At 41.0% G+C, this 17,825-nt stretch overlaps 1 protein-coding gene and 1 pseudogene across 5 annotated transcripts in view; one reads left to right on the top strand and one right to left on the bottom strand.

Moving 5' to 3' along the window:
* The window catches only part of TANGO6 (transport and golgi organization 6 homolog), a 241,652-nt gene that overhangs the window by 142,515 nt on the left and 81,312 nt on the right, over nt 1–17,825 (bottom strand). For 4 of the 5 annotated variants that reach the window (NM_024562.2, XM_047434632.1, XM_047434633.1 and 1 more), the window contains 2 exons: nt 14,585–15,100; nt 12,373–12,430 (listed from right to left, as the gene is read on the bottom strand). In NM_024562.2, coding sequence (NP_078838.1) covers nt 12,373–12,430; nt 14,585–15,100 — 574 coding nt within the window. Of the gene's footprint in view, nt 1–5,220; nt 5,502–12,372; nt 12,431–14,584; nt 15,101–17,825 lie in introns of those variants that run through there. The other variant, XM_011523327.4, reaches the window with a different exon arrangement.
* RNU7-42P (RNA, U7 small nuclear 42 pseudogene) lies at nt 15,711–15,770 on the top strand (annotated as a pseudogene).

Below are 17,825 nucleotides of genomic sequence, written 5' to 3'. Positions count from 1 at the left end.
GCCTAAAAAAGCAATGTTTTCCTCCAATATAATTTGATTCTGTATTCCTCACTTTCCTTGATGTATCTAAATTGTTACTCTTATAACCTAGACCCATTCTTCCTATGTCAGATTAAATTCAAACAATCTTTTCATCAGGTTTGATTTCCATGTTATCTAAATGAGATTCCCTTTAGAAAAAACAATCACACTGTAAGAGGTTTTTCTTTACCTTTTCGGTAAAGAAAAAGACTTTACATTTTACCATGATAATTTTCTGCATTGCCTTATGTTTTTGATCACTTTTAAAAAACTGAGCTTTAAAAGGATTAAGGTTTTAACATCCATGTAACTTTTTTTTTTTTTGAGATGGAGTTTTGCTCTTGTCGCCCAGGCTGGAGTGCAGTGGCATGATCTCGGCTCAATGCAACCTCTGCCTCCCGGGTTCAAGAGATTCTCCTGCCTCAGCTTCCCAAGTAGCTGGGATTACCTGCCACCACGTCCAGCTAACTTGTATTTTTAGTAGAGATGGGGTTTCGCCATGTTGGCCAGGCTGGTCTTGAAATCCTTACCTCAGGTGATCCACCTGCCTCGGCCTCTCAAAGTGCTGGGATTACAGGTGTGAGCCACCGTGCCTGGCTCTACATTACTTTTAAAGTCTTTTGATTATCACGCTGGTTAAATAAATGGCTATAATTTTACAGTAACCTGTAATTCTGTTTTTTTTCCCCCTAAGAGATGGGGGGTCTTCCTATGTTGCCCAGGTTGGCCCCAAACTCCTGGGCTCAAGAAATCCTCCCACTTCAGCCTCCCAAGTGGCTGCAACTACAGGCACATGCCACTATGCCCAACTGTAATTCTGTTTTCATCAAATATTTTCAGCCTTTTAATATCTTTGAGAAACTTCCCCAAAATCAAACCTAAGTTGTCTTTTTTTTTCCCTCAGAGACAGTCTTGCTCTGTCACCCAGGCTGTAGTGCAGTGGTGCAATCTTGGCTCACTGACGCTTCCACCTCCCAGGTTCAAGTGATTCTCCCACCTCAGCCTCCCAAGTAGCTGGGACTACAGGAATGCACCACTGTGCCTGGCTAATTTTTGTATTTTTTGGTAGAGATGGGGTTTTCACCATATTGGCCAGGCTGGTCTCAAACTCCTGTCCTCAAGTGATCCACCCACCTCGTCCTCCCAAAGTGCTGGGATTACAGGTATGAGCCACCATGCCCAGTTCTGATAACTTTAAAATCAACAGACTCAATACAAATTTCCAAGACTCTAATAAAAAAAAAACCTAATAGATTCATAAAACTACTAATAGAGATCAAATAGGAGTTAATTATGAGATTAACTGTTTTATGACTTTTATTTAAAACATTGTTACTTTATGCAAATACTTTGTTTCCCCAATTTAAAAAAAATTTCTCTTAAGCTATGTATCATTTCCAACAAGTTGACAGAGTGTACTTTTGTAAACAAAGATAAAAACATGTTTTTTCTTTTCCTTACTTAATCCCTCCAAAATTCAAAAACTATTTCTAAATATTCTTAGGACAATATGGTTATTTACATAAACCCAATAAAATTCTGCTCTTAAATGTTAGTTATATTACCAAGGCTTTGACTAAAATGTCATATTTAAAAATACACATAAAATGCCTGACTTCAAGGGTTCCCAGCCTTATAGTAAGTAAATAAAACTGTCACTTTCTGGCAGGCCCAGAAACTTTAAGACTATAAATAAATGCAAAGTCTGCCTTCGTTTGGCTTCCCAGCCGCAAGACTGTTTAAATGTGAGATTCCTATATTTCAATAGGAAATATTTTATTTTTCAATGTAAAAAATAAATTATGTTCCCAAAAGAAAGCTATAATATACCTGTTATTAGAATATAACTCTGTACACTGTTTTCAAGTTATTGTTATCTATTTTTGAGTAGTCTAGGTCCTAAAATCTCCCAAGTTCCTACAATCCAAGTTTCTTTCATAAAATTACTAAAAAGGGAATTGCTCTGTTCCTAAAGCCCTATAAGCTAAAACCTGAGAAATTTTTATAAACAAGTTTTGTGCCTGTCGGCCTGATGTATAGGCCACATAGAAAGTTCACCAAACTGTCCAATGCCCTAACCAGTGACATTCAAACTACAAACCAGGATGAGAAGTGGACATTGTCCAGGCTGCAAACAGCTTTTCCTAAGATGTCAAAACAAGACTCCACATATCATGAGACCCTTACTTCCCTTAATGCTCCTCTTTTCATTTGATAAGATGCTGTAATTAAAATTTCACAGTCAATAACTGTTATTGATAACCTGACAAAAATCTGACCTAAAAAATCCTTTTAGGACTAGGCTTGGTGGCTCATGTCTGTAATCCCAACACTTTGAGAGGCCGAGGCAGAGGGTAGTTTCAGCCCAGGAGTTTGAGACCAGCCTTGGTGACACAGTGAGACCCTGTCAAGAAAAGAAAAGAAAAAAGAAACGAAAAGAGAAGAGAGAAAGAAAGAAAAGAAGGAAGGAAGGAAGGAAGAAAGGAAGGAAGGAAAAACAAAATAAAAAGAAAGGAAAGAAAGAAAAGAAAGAAGGAAAAGAAGGAAGGAAGGAGAGAGAGAGAGAAAGGAAAGAAGGGAAAGAAAGGAAATGAAGGAAGGAAGGGAGGGAGGGAAGGAAATTAATTATATTTTTAAAAAAATCCTTGTAGTCAGACCAAATCAGAATCCAGCTCAGGTGCTACACAGTTTATGCCTGACCCCAAGTTCATGAATCACAGGCAGTCCCACCCAGAAGATGTAGATATGTACAGCACACTAGAAACTGAAGCAGACTGCAAAAAGAGACTGCATAGACAACTATGAGATGTGTGAAGTTGCAAATAATTATTTTAAAAATCATGTAATCAAGATATGAACACCAATGAGATTAAAATCTGAAAATATGTACGTGTGTATATACATATACATATTTATACATATGCACATGCATATCTGCTCTAGCTTTTCTGAATTAATGTCAGTTAAATTGGAATGGTATGTGGAAAGATGTGTTCCCTGTTTTGTTTTGTTTTTTCCGTTTCCTAGAATAAAATATCCATGCTTTATGGCAAAAAAAAAAAAAAAAAATTCCTTTTAGTACACCTAGTGGACAGCTTAGACAATATCCCTAACACAACTTACTGTTCAAATTGTACTGGTGGTCCCTTTTCTAAAGTTGGCAATTTTCTGTTTAATGCAAGCAAGTCATAAAATACTACTTAATGACAACTACAGGTCTCACCCAGTTTCCACTATGGTTTTTGTTTTTGTTTTTGAGACAAAGTCTCACTCTTGTTCCCCAGGCTGAAGTGCAATGGCGCGATCTTGGCTCACTGCAACCTCCGCCTCCCGGGTTCAAGTGATTCTCCTACCTCAGCCTCCCAAGTAGCTGGGATTACAGGCGCCTGCCACCACACCCGGCTAACCACCATGGTCTTTTAATTTGTTTAGTTTGTTGCCCTTAGTCTTGGGCTCTTAGTTCAAAAGCATTTTACAAACTAAATTTATTATATTGTTGTTATTTTTTATATTATAACTTTTAAGGTTTTTTTTGTTGTTGTTATTGTTGTTTGCTTTTTTTTTTTTTTTTTTTGGGGACAGGGTCTCACTCTGTCACCCAGGCTGGAGTGCAGTGGTGTGATCATAACTCACTGCAGCCTTGACCTCCTGGGCTCAAAAGACCCTCCTGCCTCAGCCTCCCAAAGTGTTGGGGTTACAGGTGTGAGCCACCATGACTGGCCGGCTTTGTTCTTACTGCTTGTTTAATCTTTATAATGCCAGCTCTCCCAACAAAGTAATGTTAACCCAATCCTTCGAGATGATTGCTAATGCTTATAGAACTGTTAAGATAGAACTTGATAATTGACTCTAGAACAATGTACCCTAGGAACACTTTTCCTTCTGGACTCTGCTACTCAAATGTGGCCCAGGTCACTGACATAAGCCCCCATACTTCCCTGCTGATGTGGGACAGAGACAACCAGAACAGGTCCATCCTAGCTCTGAGGGACAATTAAGCTAACTTATAAGTAGTTAATTGGCAATGCTTTCAAAAAAAGATCTTAATCAAAAGGGGAAAATGTGAAAGTGGATCATATTAATTGGGTCATGCCTCTCATATCCAACTAAAATGGAGTTGAGAGACCAGGGAAAAAAAAAACAAGGCACATAATGTTGCTCCAAAAATATAATTCCCTATAAGCCTGGCTTTTGAAACTGCCTGTTGTAGCCTAAAGCCAGTTTTATCTAATAGCTACTGAAACAAACCTACTGTGACTCTAAGACTCATTTTACCCACTGCTGTCACTCATTAATCAGAGCTTGCCAGATCTCCAAAACTTTACTAGTCCCAATGATCTTTCTCCAGAACAAAATGTAACATTTCTCCTGTTTACAAAACCTCCAACCTTCTCATTGTTCTTCAGACATATGGAAGACCATTAGGTCTGCATGTATGCACCAAATTACAATTCTTCCTTCTCAAATAAGATGTTTTAAATATAGAGATTCACCTTTATACTTTATTTTACCTCGACAGCTTTGATAAAAAGACAGACAATAACAAGTATTGGCAAAGCTGTGGAAAAATTGGAACACTCATACATTGCTGGTAAGGATGTAAAATGGTATATCTGCTTTGGAAAATAGTCCAGCAGTTCCTCAAAAGGCTAAACATAGACTTACTATACGATCCAGCAATTCCACTCCTAGGTATATGTATATACCCAGGGGAAATGAAAACATACGTTCACACAAAACTTGTACACAAATGTTCCTAACAACACTATTCATAATAGCCAAGTCTACGGGGATACCACCCCGAATGCGCCTGATCTCGTCATAATAGCCAAAAAGTGGAAACAAACCAGTTGTCCACCAATTAATGAGCTGGATAAATAAAACATGGCTAAGCAATACCATGGAATATTATTCAGTCATAAAAAGGAATGAAGTCATAAAAAGGAAACCTCAAACCTCAAAAACATTATGCTAAAGTGAAAGGAGCCAGACAAAAAAGACCGCATATTGTATAATTCCATTTATATGAAATGTCCAGCATAGGCAAATCCATAGAGATTAAAAAATAGATCAGTGGTTGCCAGGGGTTGGGGGAGTGAGCAAGGGGAAGTGACTTTTGATGGGTATGAAATGATAAAAATGTTTTAAAATTAGATAGTGGTGATGGTTGCACAACTCTTTAAAGACACTAGAAACCACTGACTTGCATGTTTTAATTGGGTGAATTTTAGGTATGTAAATTACATCTCAAATAAGAAGTTTTAAAAATGGAGATAATGTCTACTTCCCAGAACTACTTAGAGAATTTACTGAGAGACCATATATGAGAGACATTCTCTAAATGCTTATTTGTTAAGTAAGTGGTACAGAAACCAGGTCAGGATGTAAAAGAAATCTTCCCTTTTCCAGGACATAAATGGAGATGATAAACTTCGCAGGACTGCATTCCAAATTTCCATGCCAGGTCCAATTAGATGATCCTTCAAGGGACAGAATTATTTTCAGTTAGTGGTTTCTCAACTTATTTTATTTGAGGTAGAAATCTGAGAATGAGATAGAGATTCAGGCCCTGACAAGTTAAGACTTGTAATCCTGCTCAATTTGAAACTCTGTGAAAACAATTTCATCTTGTATCTACCTTCCCCCTTCCGGGCTTTTGCCTTCCCTCCACTCAGCTCTTTTGCCAGAAATGAAAGCTCTTCTCTGAAAGGAAGAGGGTGGAAGAGCTTGTGTGATTTGTTTGGGCATGTCAAGATGGCTAGATCTCTTCACTCTACACACTGGCATGCTTTCACCTCCCATGGTTGGCCCAGAGCCCAGGTGGTTTTTTTTTTTTATTTTTTTCTCTTTTAAAAGAAGGCTGGTAGTTTTATCCAAAGATCCTTTTGACACTGAGAGGGACCACTTGGATCCCCAAAATGCATCTGTTGTTTTCAAAATACCCTTTAAATAATTGAAAGTGACTGAGAGGACATATGAACAGATCTACAGTATAGAAATAATCTGGCTATAGGCAGGGTGCGGTGGCTCACGCCTGTAATCCCAGCACTTCAGGAGTCTGAGGCGGGTGGATCACCTGAGGTCAGAAGTTTGAGACCAACCTGGCCAACACGGTGAAACCCTGTGTCTACTAAAAATTCAAAAAAATTAGCCGGGCATGGTGGTGGGCACCTGTAGTCCCAGCTACTTGGGAGGCTGGGGCAGGAGAATTGCTTGAACCCGGGAGGTGGAAGTTGCAGTGAGCCAAGCCCATTGCACTCCAGCCTGGGTAACAAGAAAGAAACTCTGTCTCAAAAAAAGAAAAAAAGAAATAATCTGACTATGTCTTATTGAAGAATATCACTTATTTATCATACTCATTATTGAACATCTATTTCAAAACTAAAATGTGAAAAAATGCCCAAATATCTAATGTACACTATGGGAATCTCAAAGATGTATCCTTTTTTTAAATTTTCTTTTTGAGATAAGGTGTCACTCTGTCACCTAGGATGGAGTGCAGTGGTGCAATCATGACTCTCTGCAGCCTTAACCTCCTGGGCTCAAGTGATCCTCCCACCTAAGCCTCCTAAATAGTTGGGACTACAGGTGCACACCAGCACACCTAGCTAATTTTTATTTTTGTGTGTGTGGAGACAAGGTCTCACTATGTTGCCTAGGCTGGTCTTGAATTCTTGGGCTCAAGCAATCCTCCCACCTCAGCCTCCCAAAATGTTGGGATTACAGGCATGAGTCACTGAGCCTAGCCTTCAAGGACATATTCTAACTCCCATTTTGGAAAAGAGAAGGGCTTCTGCCTTTTACCTTATATACTTCATTCTTGTTGAAATTTTTTAAAAACATTGAGAATATATTACTTGTATAATAATAATGATGATAAAAACAGTGAAGAAAGAATATACAAGGAATACAAAAGGGGAGACATTTATCTTTGTCTGTGTAAGATTAAGTTCTCTATCTGTAAACTCTATAGGGTAACCGGAACTCAGAGACTTTATACATAATTCTCTGCCTGAAGAAGCTGTTATTGAGTACCTGGGAGAAGCTGCTAGAATGACTAAGTCAACCACTGCTTCTCAGTAAGAATAAACAGAGATACACACAGTTTTTCCTAAAATTAAATTTAACTCCTAGGGTATTGAGTTCTCAGATTGCTGTGATAGATAATATAGACATCAGAAATTTCTAAGTCAGGCATCAATATATAGCCGTTGAATGAACTGCTGTATTTTATTCTCTTCTGCTCTCCACCTAGACTGCAAAGTTGGTAAGACTTTATAAAAGAAATATAAAACATCAATAAATTAAGCAAAAAGTACACTATAACTTCCACATGGAGCCATTTGGGCAGCTCAAAAAAGGAAAACTTTAAAAATACACAGTCCCCACAACTGAATGCTACTCAAACCACAACCAGGCACTCCCCATCCTGTACTACAGGACAAGTGGGCTGGTCTTGTCTGACTGGGAGCCCAGAATGGCTTTGTTCCTGTAGTGCTTTAGGCCCAGGCAAACTACACTGGCAATGCAGGTGGGAAAATTCAGCTATTTTCTTTAATGGGAAACTCACCTGAAGCCTTGGCTTTTAAGTGCATATTACAAACACCAAAAACATCAATTAGTCCAAACTTGTCCATCATCTTGGGGAGCTGAGAACAGAAATTACGCCTCTACCCCTCATGTTCTTCATCACCAAATTAGCTAGTAACTGATTTGCACACCAACGAAAATTACTAAAAACAAACACAACACCAACAGCTGCGATTTTGATAGCAGGCCCTAGAGGCTAATGAGCTCAGTGGGTTAATCAACTAAGACGCTTATTCCAAACAGCAAAGTGGTCACATTAGAATGACATGCCACCCATTCCCAAAAATCCAGTCTTAAAAAAAATAAATCAATGAAAAACATCTCCTTGACAGTAGTACAGTTTCTTGGGGAAAGTACAGGATGACTTGTGTTCTGAAACTTCTGAATTATAAGCACTTTAGGTTCTTGCTTCTTTGATTTATCTGACTTCCATAAGCACAACTTATGGTCATGTGGCCTCCTGGACCCCCAGGCCTATCTCAATTCCTGCACTCTTTGGCCTCTCAGCTGCAGGTAATTACTTTCTCTCTTGAAACCCGTTACTCGTAGAGCTTTCGTTCTCACCTAGTTGTCCTTTACCACTTTGGGTGGTCATTTTGTCTCTTTGAATAATTCTCTTTTTGCTTTTGAACCTAATTACAACTTTCAGTTAATCTAAAGTGTTTTGTATATAGGAGATATACAAAATTTTTGTTGAATAAAGAAAGAATTTGGCTGGGCACAGTGGCTCATGCCTGCAATCCCAGCACTTTGGGAGGCTGAAGTAAGAGGATTGCTTAAGTCTAGGAGTTTGAGCCTGGGCAACATAGTGAGACCCCCATCTCTACAAAATGTTTTTTAAAAAATTAGCCTGATGTGTGTTGGCATGCATCTGTAGTCCCAGCTACTCAGGAGGCAGACGTGGTAGGACTGCTTGAGCCCAGGAGTTAGAGGTAACAATGAACCACGATCATGCCACTATACTCTACCCTGAGTGACAGAGCAAGACTCTGTCTCTAAAAAAAAAAAAAAAAAATTCCAGAATTCCAAGGCTCAGGCCTTCTTTGCTATACGATTTCCCCTCTGCATGCTCTCTTAAGCTTCAAGTACTAAGTCTGTATAGAGCATATCCACATTAAACCCTGAAAGAATTAGCCAGTAAGAACCTGCACTTACCTTTGTGCTCACTGACAACCTTGCCTCTGGGAGGTAAACAGAACACATCAACGTGAAGAAGGGCATTACTGCATCAATGCCCTTTGCTATGTGACTTGGTAGTGTGTCCCACTAAAGGGACAGCATATATTTCTCTATCCCTTGACTTTTGGGTTGGGCCTCATGACTTGCTTTAGCCAACAGAATAAGGCAGAATGATAGGATGTCTGCTCCGAGTCAGGCCTGAGGAGGAATTTATGGTTTCTCTTTGACACTTCATGGTTCTCACCATGAGCAGAACAAGCCCTGGTAGGCCACTGGTTCAGGGATGATCAGGAACACATGAAGCACAGCTACCACAGCTGGCCTGAGACCTGCTGGGAGGGGCCAGCTGCCCAGCCAAGCCCCGCTGAACCTTCAGTGGGTCTACAGATGCGTGAGTGATAATAAATGATTGGTGTTTCAGGTTACTGAGTGTCAGGGTAGTTTGTTGTTGTTGCTGTTTTCTGAGAAGGAGTCTTGCTCTGCTGCCCAGGATGGAGTGCAGTGGTGCCATCTCGGCTCACTGCAACCCTCATCTCCTGGGTTCAAGCAATTCTCCTGCTTCAGCCTCCCAAGTAACCGGGACTACAGGCACACACCACCATGCCTGGCTAATTTTTGTATTTTTAGCAGGGACAGGGTTTCACCATGTTGATCAGGCTGGTCTTGAACTCCTGACTTCAGGTGATCCAACCACCTCGGCCTCCCAAAGTGCTGGGATGATAGGCGTGAGCCACAGAGTAGTTTGTTAAATATCAATAACTGACAGAATCGGCCTACTCAGGCTTCAGATCTGAGAAGTTACAGAGATCACCACATTATTACCTAGTCATCCAACAGTAGACGTAATAGTGAAGATTCTGATGATGATAACAACACTAAAATATTAATAGCTAACACATATTGAACACTGTGCTAAGCAGTTGCAAGGAATTAACTCATTTAATCCTAATATTAAGCCCCCTTTTTATTAATAAACATTTTATGATAGAATAGTAAACTAATATTGACACTTTATTATCAACTGAAGTTTATAATTTATTCAAATTTCCTTAGTTTTCCCCTAATGTCCTTTTTTTTTCTTTTTTTCTGAGACGGAGTCTCACTCTGTTGCCCAAGCTGGAGTGCAGTGGTGCAATCTCGGCTCACTGCAACCTTGGCCTCCTGGGTTCAGGCAATTCTCGTGTCTCAGCATCCCAAGTAGCCGGGATTACAGGTGCCCGCCACCACACCTGGCTAACTTTTTTTGGTGTTTTTTTGTAGAGATCAGGTTTCACCATGTTGGCCAGGCTGGTCACAAACTCCTGATCTCAAGTGATCTGCTTGCTTCGGCCTCCCAAAGTGCTTGGGATTACAGGCATGAGCCACTGCTCCCGGTCCTAATGTTGTTTTTCTATTTCAGAATCCCATCTATCACATTACATTTAGTCATCATATTTCCTTATGCTCTGACAATTTTAGCCCTCTCCCCTTTAATTAAATTTTATTTTGGCCAGGTGCGGTGGCTCACGCCTATCATCTTAGGACTTTGGGAGGCCGAGGCGGGTGGATCACCCAAGGTCAGGAGTTCGAGACCAGCCTGACCAACATGGAGAAACCCCCGTCTCTACTAAAAATACAAAATTAGCCAGGTGTGGTGGCACATGCCTGTAATCCCAGCTACTCGGGAGGCTGAGGCAGGAGAATCGCTTGAACCCGGGAGGCGGAGGTTGCAGTGAGCTGAGATTGTGCCATTGCACTCCAGTCTGGGCAACAAGAGTGAAACTCCGTCTCAAAAAAAAAAAATTTTTTTTATTGTATTTTTTTGATAATAGTTTTATTGAGCTATAACTCACATACCATACAACTCACCCATTTAAAGTTCGTAACTCGGCTGGGCGTGGTGGCTGATGCCTGTACTCAGGAGGCTGAGACACAAGAATCGCTTGAACCCGGGAGGCGGAAGTTGCAGTGAGCCAAGATTGTGCCACTGCACTCCAGCCTGGGCGACAGAGTGAGACTCCATCTTAAAAAAAAAGTGCATAACTCAATGGTTTCCTAGCATACTCACAGAGCTGTGCAAGAATCTGGGAACATTTTCATCACCCCAAAAAGAAGTCTTGTATCCTTTACCTATCACCCTCAACTATCTCTCCTTTACCCCAGCCCTAGGAAAGCACTAATCTATTTTCTGTCTCTAAAAAACTGCCTATTCTGGATATTTCATGTAACTGGAATCATATAAAATATAGTATTTTGTGGCCAGTTTCTTTCACTTACCATGTTTTCAAGGTTCGTCCATATTGTGGCATGTATCAGTCCTTCATTTTTATAGCCAATAATATTCCATTGCATATATATACCACATTTAGTTTATCCATTCATCAACTGATGGTTGTTTGAGCTATTTCCACCTCTTGGTTATTGTGAATAATACTGCTGTGAACATTCACACACAAGGTTTTGTGCAGACATATGTTTTCATTTATCGGGTATATTCCTGGGAGTGGAATTGCTGGGCCAAGTAGTAACTCTATGTTTATCTTTTCGAGGAACTGCCAGACTGGTTTCCAAAGTGGCAGTACCATTTCACATTCCTATTTAGTCCCCTTTTCACAGATAACAAAAAATTGAAGCCCACAGGGATTAAGTAATTTGCCAACGCATGGTAATGGGATGGCCAACCCAGGTGGTCTGTTGACTGTACCTCGCTGATGGAGCCAAGGGAAACTGAGTTAACTCTGACCTCACCATGTCTGCTTCTGGACCTTTTGGGAAGGGTGCCTTATTCTCTACATCCTCTCTAGATTTGGAGCCCACAAGTTAAAGGGGATGTGGAGAACAACAAAGAACCATAAAAAGAGAAATAAAGTTACTGCAAAAAATTTTTTGATAAGAAAATATTTAATACCCTGAGTTCTTTTAGCTTAACGAGAGAGCAAAGGTGCATATAGACAGTAGTTGAGGCTGGGCGTGGTGGCTCACGCCTGTAATCCCAGCACTTTGGAAGGCCAAGGTGGGTGGATCACTGGAGGTCAGGAGTTCGAGTCCAGCCTGACTAACATGGTGAAACCTTGTCTCTACTAAAAATATAAAAAATTAGCTGGGCGTGGTGGCGGGCACCTGTAATCCCAGCTACTTGGGAGGCTGAGGCAGGAGAATCACTTGAACCCGGGAGGCAGAGGTTGCAGTGAGCTGAGATCACACCACCGCACTCCAGCCTGGGTGACAGAGCGAGACTCTGTCTCAAAAAAAAAAAAAAAAAAGACAGTAGCCGACTAACATAAAAGGTTAATGTGATAAGAGTTCATGTGTGAGTCATTCTTTACCTCCTTGAATTAGAGGAAATACGATTTAATCTACAGAATATGTAAACATTAATAAAAACTTCCTCATCATTATGAGACACTGAAACTCTATAGGGACTCTTTGGAAACCCTTCAGGAATATTATTATTATGACTTAAAGTGTCCTAGCTAGGAGGCAGGAAGACGGACAAAATGACCAGTAGTCTCCTGGCCCTAGGACTTTAGAGATTTTGTGCAAATAAACATGATACAGTCTCTGGTCCACATACTTAAAGTCCTTTAACCAGGACTGACTTACCCTGAATTGCAGATAGATATACAAAAGTGTCTTCATGTTCCAAGTTTTCCAAGAATATCTGGAACCACAAAATACAGCAGTGATAAGATTTACAAAGAACAAGGAAGATTTAAGAGGCTCCCTTATCAGCAGCTCAAAGGAGTAAATGCTTCGCTTCTTGTTTTTCTTGGGTAGAAACTGGTCTGACAGAGTTTTGTGGGGGAAATGGCATATATGCTTAAGTCTCATTTTTATAACCATTAAAAAAGTATAGAGACTGGGGGAGATACTTGTATTCTTCCAGCAGTAGTCCTGGAAACCGATGGAAGAACAATCCTCAACATTTTTCCATGACAGCCATGGTGAATAACATTCTCACATATGGCATGACAGACTACGGGGTGTGACACACAAGAGACAAGGTTTGGGGTTATGTGCAATGGATGGCACATTTGCTGCAATTTGATCCTTTTCTCTTGTACTCACAAAGCATATGGAAGTGCAAGTGAGATAGAGATGTTATTATTGAGATAACTTTGAATCTGTTCTAATTTATTTTTGAAAATCTTGTAAATTTCAGCACTTTAATTGATATTAGTAACAAATTACTCTCAAAATATCTTACAATTTAGGAACCTATCAGGGGTATCAACTACAGTGAGTACAGCTTATCTGGAAGATATTACATGATATGTTAGGTTTAGGCCCCAACATGAGAGCCAGAGAAAGGAAGACGGAAGTGTCTGCTCCATATATAATGCTGTGTTCTTCGTTGGCACAGTAATTCTTGACATCAACTTGATGCTGCTGGTCTCTACATGTGAAGTATGTACGGAGAGCCTAAAATTACCCCAGTTAGGAAGACGGCCAGTTTTGAAGGTAGGGAATCTTTTATGGAGTAAGCAAGGGAAGCTTAATTTAGGGTAATGGCCATGGAAATAAAGAGGATAAGATACATTTGAAAGACTTCTTTGAAAAAAGAATTGACAGGACTTGGTGACCAATTATGTACAGCAGAAGAAGGTTTAATTAAGCTAAAAAAAATTCCAAGATGTTCATTGAATTCACCTTCAAATAGGTGTATAAAAGGATATTTAAGGCCAGGCGCGGTGGCTCATGCCTGTAATCCCAGCACTTTGGGAGGCCGAGGCAGGTGAATCACTTGATGTGAGGAGTTCAACACCAGCTTGGCTAACATGGTGAAACCTCATCTCAACTAAACGTACAAAAATTAGCTGGGTGTGTTGGTGGGCACCTGTAATCCCAGCTACTTGGGAGGCTGAGGCAGAAGAATCACTTGAACCCAGGAGGTGGAAATTGCAGTGAGCTGAGATCGCACCACTGCACTCCAGCCTGGGCGACGGAGCGAGACCCTGTCTCAAAAAAACAAAACAAAACAAAACAAAAAACAGCTATTTCACCACGATGAAGGGAGAGAAGAGGGGAGGAGACCCAGTTTTGCCCAACGCCCCACTAAAGATGCCCAGAGAAAACAGGTGGCTTATCTGGGCTGGGTCACAGTGTTGAAGCAGACCTATTTATCACAAAAGGTACTTTCCCATCTCTGGGAATTTGTTCAAGCTATCCCACCCCTCTTTCATCTGCTCAAACTTTACTAGTTTGTTATGGCCATATTAAGGCCTACATCCTCCAGAAGATTTCAACTTTCTCTTTTTCCTGACTGCCCACAGCATTTCTTGCATGCAAAAATTTTGAAGGATGGGTGTGGTGGCTCACGCCTGTAATCCCAGCACTTTGGGAGGCCGAGGCAGGTGGATCACGAGGTCAGGAGATCGAGACCATCCTGGCTAACATGGTGCCCGTCTCTACTAAAAATACAAAAAATTAGCCGGGGGTGGTGGCAGACACCTGTAGTCCCAGCTACTCGGGAGGCTGAGGCAGGAGAATGGTGTGAACCCAGAAGGCGGAGCTTGCAGTGAGCCGAGATTGCACCACTGCACTCCAGCCTGGGGGACAGAGCGAGATTCCATCTCAAAAAAAAAAAAAAAAAAAAAAAATTGGCACTCAGTTCATATTCATTTGAGGAGTTTAAGTCTTTCCTGTGTCTAAATAAATCTTTCCTGTGTCTAAGTGTTGCCTCCTCACAAAATTCACAAATTTCTGGAGGGTGGTCCAGAACAGCACTTGACACATAGTCCAGGCTCCAAAAATACTTGAGTTGAATGAATGCCCCACCCTGTGCCCATGTGTCTTTACAGTGTGTTCTACTCACCTTGAGAAGCTTCTCTTGCATCTCAAGGGCTTTTGCTTCTCTCTGCTCTATCCAGTGGGAAAGAGTACGCAGGGCAGCAGCCCGTGTTGGAATTTGAGGGTCATAAGCTGACAAAAGAACCTCTTGGAGCTGTTCTGTGGTTACGCTTCCAGATTTCTGACTTGTAGTAGTGCTGGGCTCATTGACTCCTTGAGGAATGATTGGAGCATTTGACTGCAGGCCTGTCTGGGGGGCTGTCTCATGGCTCTGCTGTTGTTCAAGGTGGCTATGAGCTACATCAGTGGGTCTTTCATGACTGGTTTGTTGCTGCTCTTCTATTTTCCCTTCCAGATCTTTTCTGTTCAGTGTACTTTGGGCAGCCATGCTGACGGCCTCAGTGGCAAAGGCTCCATGGGTAGAGATGGTGATGCGGAGATCAACAGCGAGTTCTTGGATGACCGGATCAGGGTATGTGTTGGATACCTTCTCCAACAGAGGCAACAACTGCTTCAGAACAGCAAAATCACTTGACTTCAACTACAAAATGAAATAAAAAATGTCAAACCCAAATTAACATAGCAAATTTCAATATGACCTGAGCACCAGGAAACATATTCTGAGAAAAAAGGGCAGGGATCAAATCTTGCTCATGGTGTAATCAGTGTATTGCCTGGGTCCAGCACTGAATACCATTTGTTGAATAATCATACCTAACATTTATTGAACACTTATCATATACAGGTTCTTTTCTAAGATAAAACACACACACACACATTCATATCCTTGTGATATAATGACTATTATTATCTACATTTTAAACAGGTGGAAACAGAACGGTTAAGTAACATGCCCAAGGTCACAGACTGGAAGATAGTAAGATGTGAACTCAAGAAACTGGGATCAGAGCCCACACTCTCACCCAATACCCTACGCAGTCTCCCTTGAAAAGATAAGGCTGTTCTTAACTACATGATCTAAAGTGGCCAGTCAGTATGCAAGTGCACCATAGATCTGGAAGGGATCACAGAGAAAACGGGAAGAAAGGGATTTCTTCTGGAAAGTGGAAGTGAAAATTATATAACATTTTATTCTCCATGGAAGCTTTGTCTGAATAATGTCATATGCCTTACTACTAAGAAAGGTGCATGAGTGTTACAGCTCTATTAGAATTTGTCTAGCAGGTTTTCTGGTCTTCACTGGAAAGCACCCCCCTCACCCACTGCCACCCAAAAGGTGTATGTGTGATCAATGAAAAGTAAGAATCAATGGTAATACTTTTCTGTTTGAAAACACTGGAGAAATTATCAGATGAGGCTTCAGGAGACCCTGAAAATTTGAATACCTTAAGGATCTTAAGTCCTTTTTACTGGCCAACATGGCGAAACCCCACCTCTACTAAAAATACAAAAATCAGCTGGGCATGGTGGCATGTGCCTGTAGTCCCAGCTACTCGGAAGGCTGAGGCAGGAGAATCGCTTAAACCCGGGAGGCAGAGGTTGCAGTGAGCTGAGATCACGCCACTGCCCTCCAGCTTGGGCAACAGAGCGAGACTCTGTCTCAAAAAAAAGAAAAAAAAATCCTTTTTATTTTTATTTTTTTCTTTTCTTTTTGGAAACGGAGTCTCGCTCTGCTGCCTAGGCTGGAGTGCAATGGCGTAATCTCGGCTCACTGCAACCTCCACCTCCCGGGTTCACGCCATTCTCCTGCCTCAGCCTCCCGAGTAGCTGGGACTACAGGCACACGCCACCATGCCTGGCTAATTTTTTATAGTTTAGTAGAAACGGGGTTTCACCATGTTGGCCAGGCTGGTCTTGAACTCCGGACCTCAGGTGATCCGCCCACCTTGGCCTTCCAAAGTGCTGGAATTACAGGCATGAGCCACGGTGCCCGGCCGAGACATTTTCAAATAATTATACTAGTATTATCATTATGCTAAACTTCATTCAGTGCCTCGGTTGTATCATGGACTTTTTTAAAGCATCTAAAATGAGAATAATTTACCTACAGTCTATTTGGCCTCTTTTTTAATTTCTCTTCTATATAACAATTTCTTCTAAAAAAAAAAACCAGCCAAGACAAATAGATCAATGGGACAGAACAGAAAGGCCAGAAATAGACCCAGATAAATAGAGTCAACTGAACTTTGACAAAGGAGCAAAGGCTTTAAATGGAAAAAAAAATACAGTTTCTTTTTTCTTTTTTTTTTTTTTAATTGGAACAAGTGTCAGTAGAAAAGACAGTTTTTTCAACAAATGGTGCTGGAACAACTGGCATGCACATGTGAAAAAATGAATCTAGACACAGACCTTGCACCTTGCACAAAAATTAACTTGAAATGGATCATAAACCTAACTGTCAAATACAAAACTATAAAACTCCTACAAGTTAACATAGTAGAAAATTGAGATGACCTCTTAAAAGCAATGACCTTTTAAATACAACAGCAAAGGCATGATCTATGAAAGAAATAGTTAAAAACCTGGACCTTATTAAAATTAAGAATGTCTGCTCTGCAAAAGAAACTGTCAAGAGAATGAGAAGACAAACTACAGAATGAGAGAAAATATTTGTAAAAGACATATCTGAAAAAGGACTAATATCCAAAATATACAAAGAACTCTTTAAACTCAATAAGAAAATGAACAACCTGACTTAAAAATGGGCAAAAGACCTTAACAGATAGGTCTACCAAAGAAGAATACCCTACCAAAGAAGATATACAGATGGCAAATAAGCATAGGAAGACATACTCAATGTCATAAGTCATTAGGGAATTGCAATTTTTTCTTTTTTTTGAGACAGAGTCTTGCTCTATTGCTCAGGCTGGAGTGCAATGGCACAATCTTGGCTCACTGCAACCTCCACCTCCCAGGTTCAAGCGATTCCCCCACCTCAGCCTCTTGAGTAGCTGGGACTCCAGGTGCGGCCACCATGCCTGGCTAATTTTTGTATTTTTAGTAGAGTCAGGGTTTTGCCATGTTGCCGGGGCTGGCCTCAAACTCCTGACCTCATGTGATCCGCCCACCTCAGCCTCCCAAAATGCTGGGATTACAGGCGTGAGCCACCACACCAGGCTTCCCACCCACCCCTCTTTGCATCCACAGAGTTCTCAATCCTGGGCATGGCAGAAGCACCTTGATCCCTCCCTGATCAAGGGTGTGACCTGGGATCCCTGGCCTCGGGCTGGACAACCAGGTGCCCACAACCTGTATGGGGGTATTTACTCATTGAACATCTAGCCCCTGGGGTTGTCCAGGGAAAT

Source organism: Homo sapiens, chromosome 16 (genome assembly GCF_000001405.40).
Source record: "Homo sapiens chromosome 16, GRCh38.p14 Primary Assembly".
Taxonomy (NCBI): Eukaryota; Metazoa; Chordata; class Mammalia; order Primates; family Hominidae; genus Homo; species Homo sapiens.
Note: the sequence above shows the minus strand (reverse complement) of the source record. Positions and strands in the feature narration are given on the sequence as shown.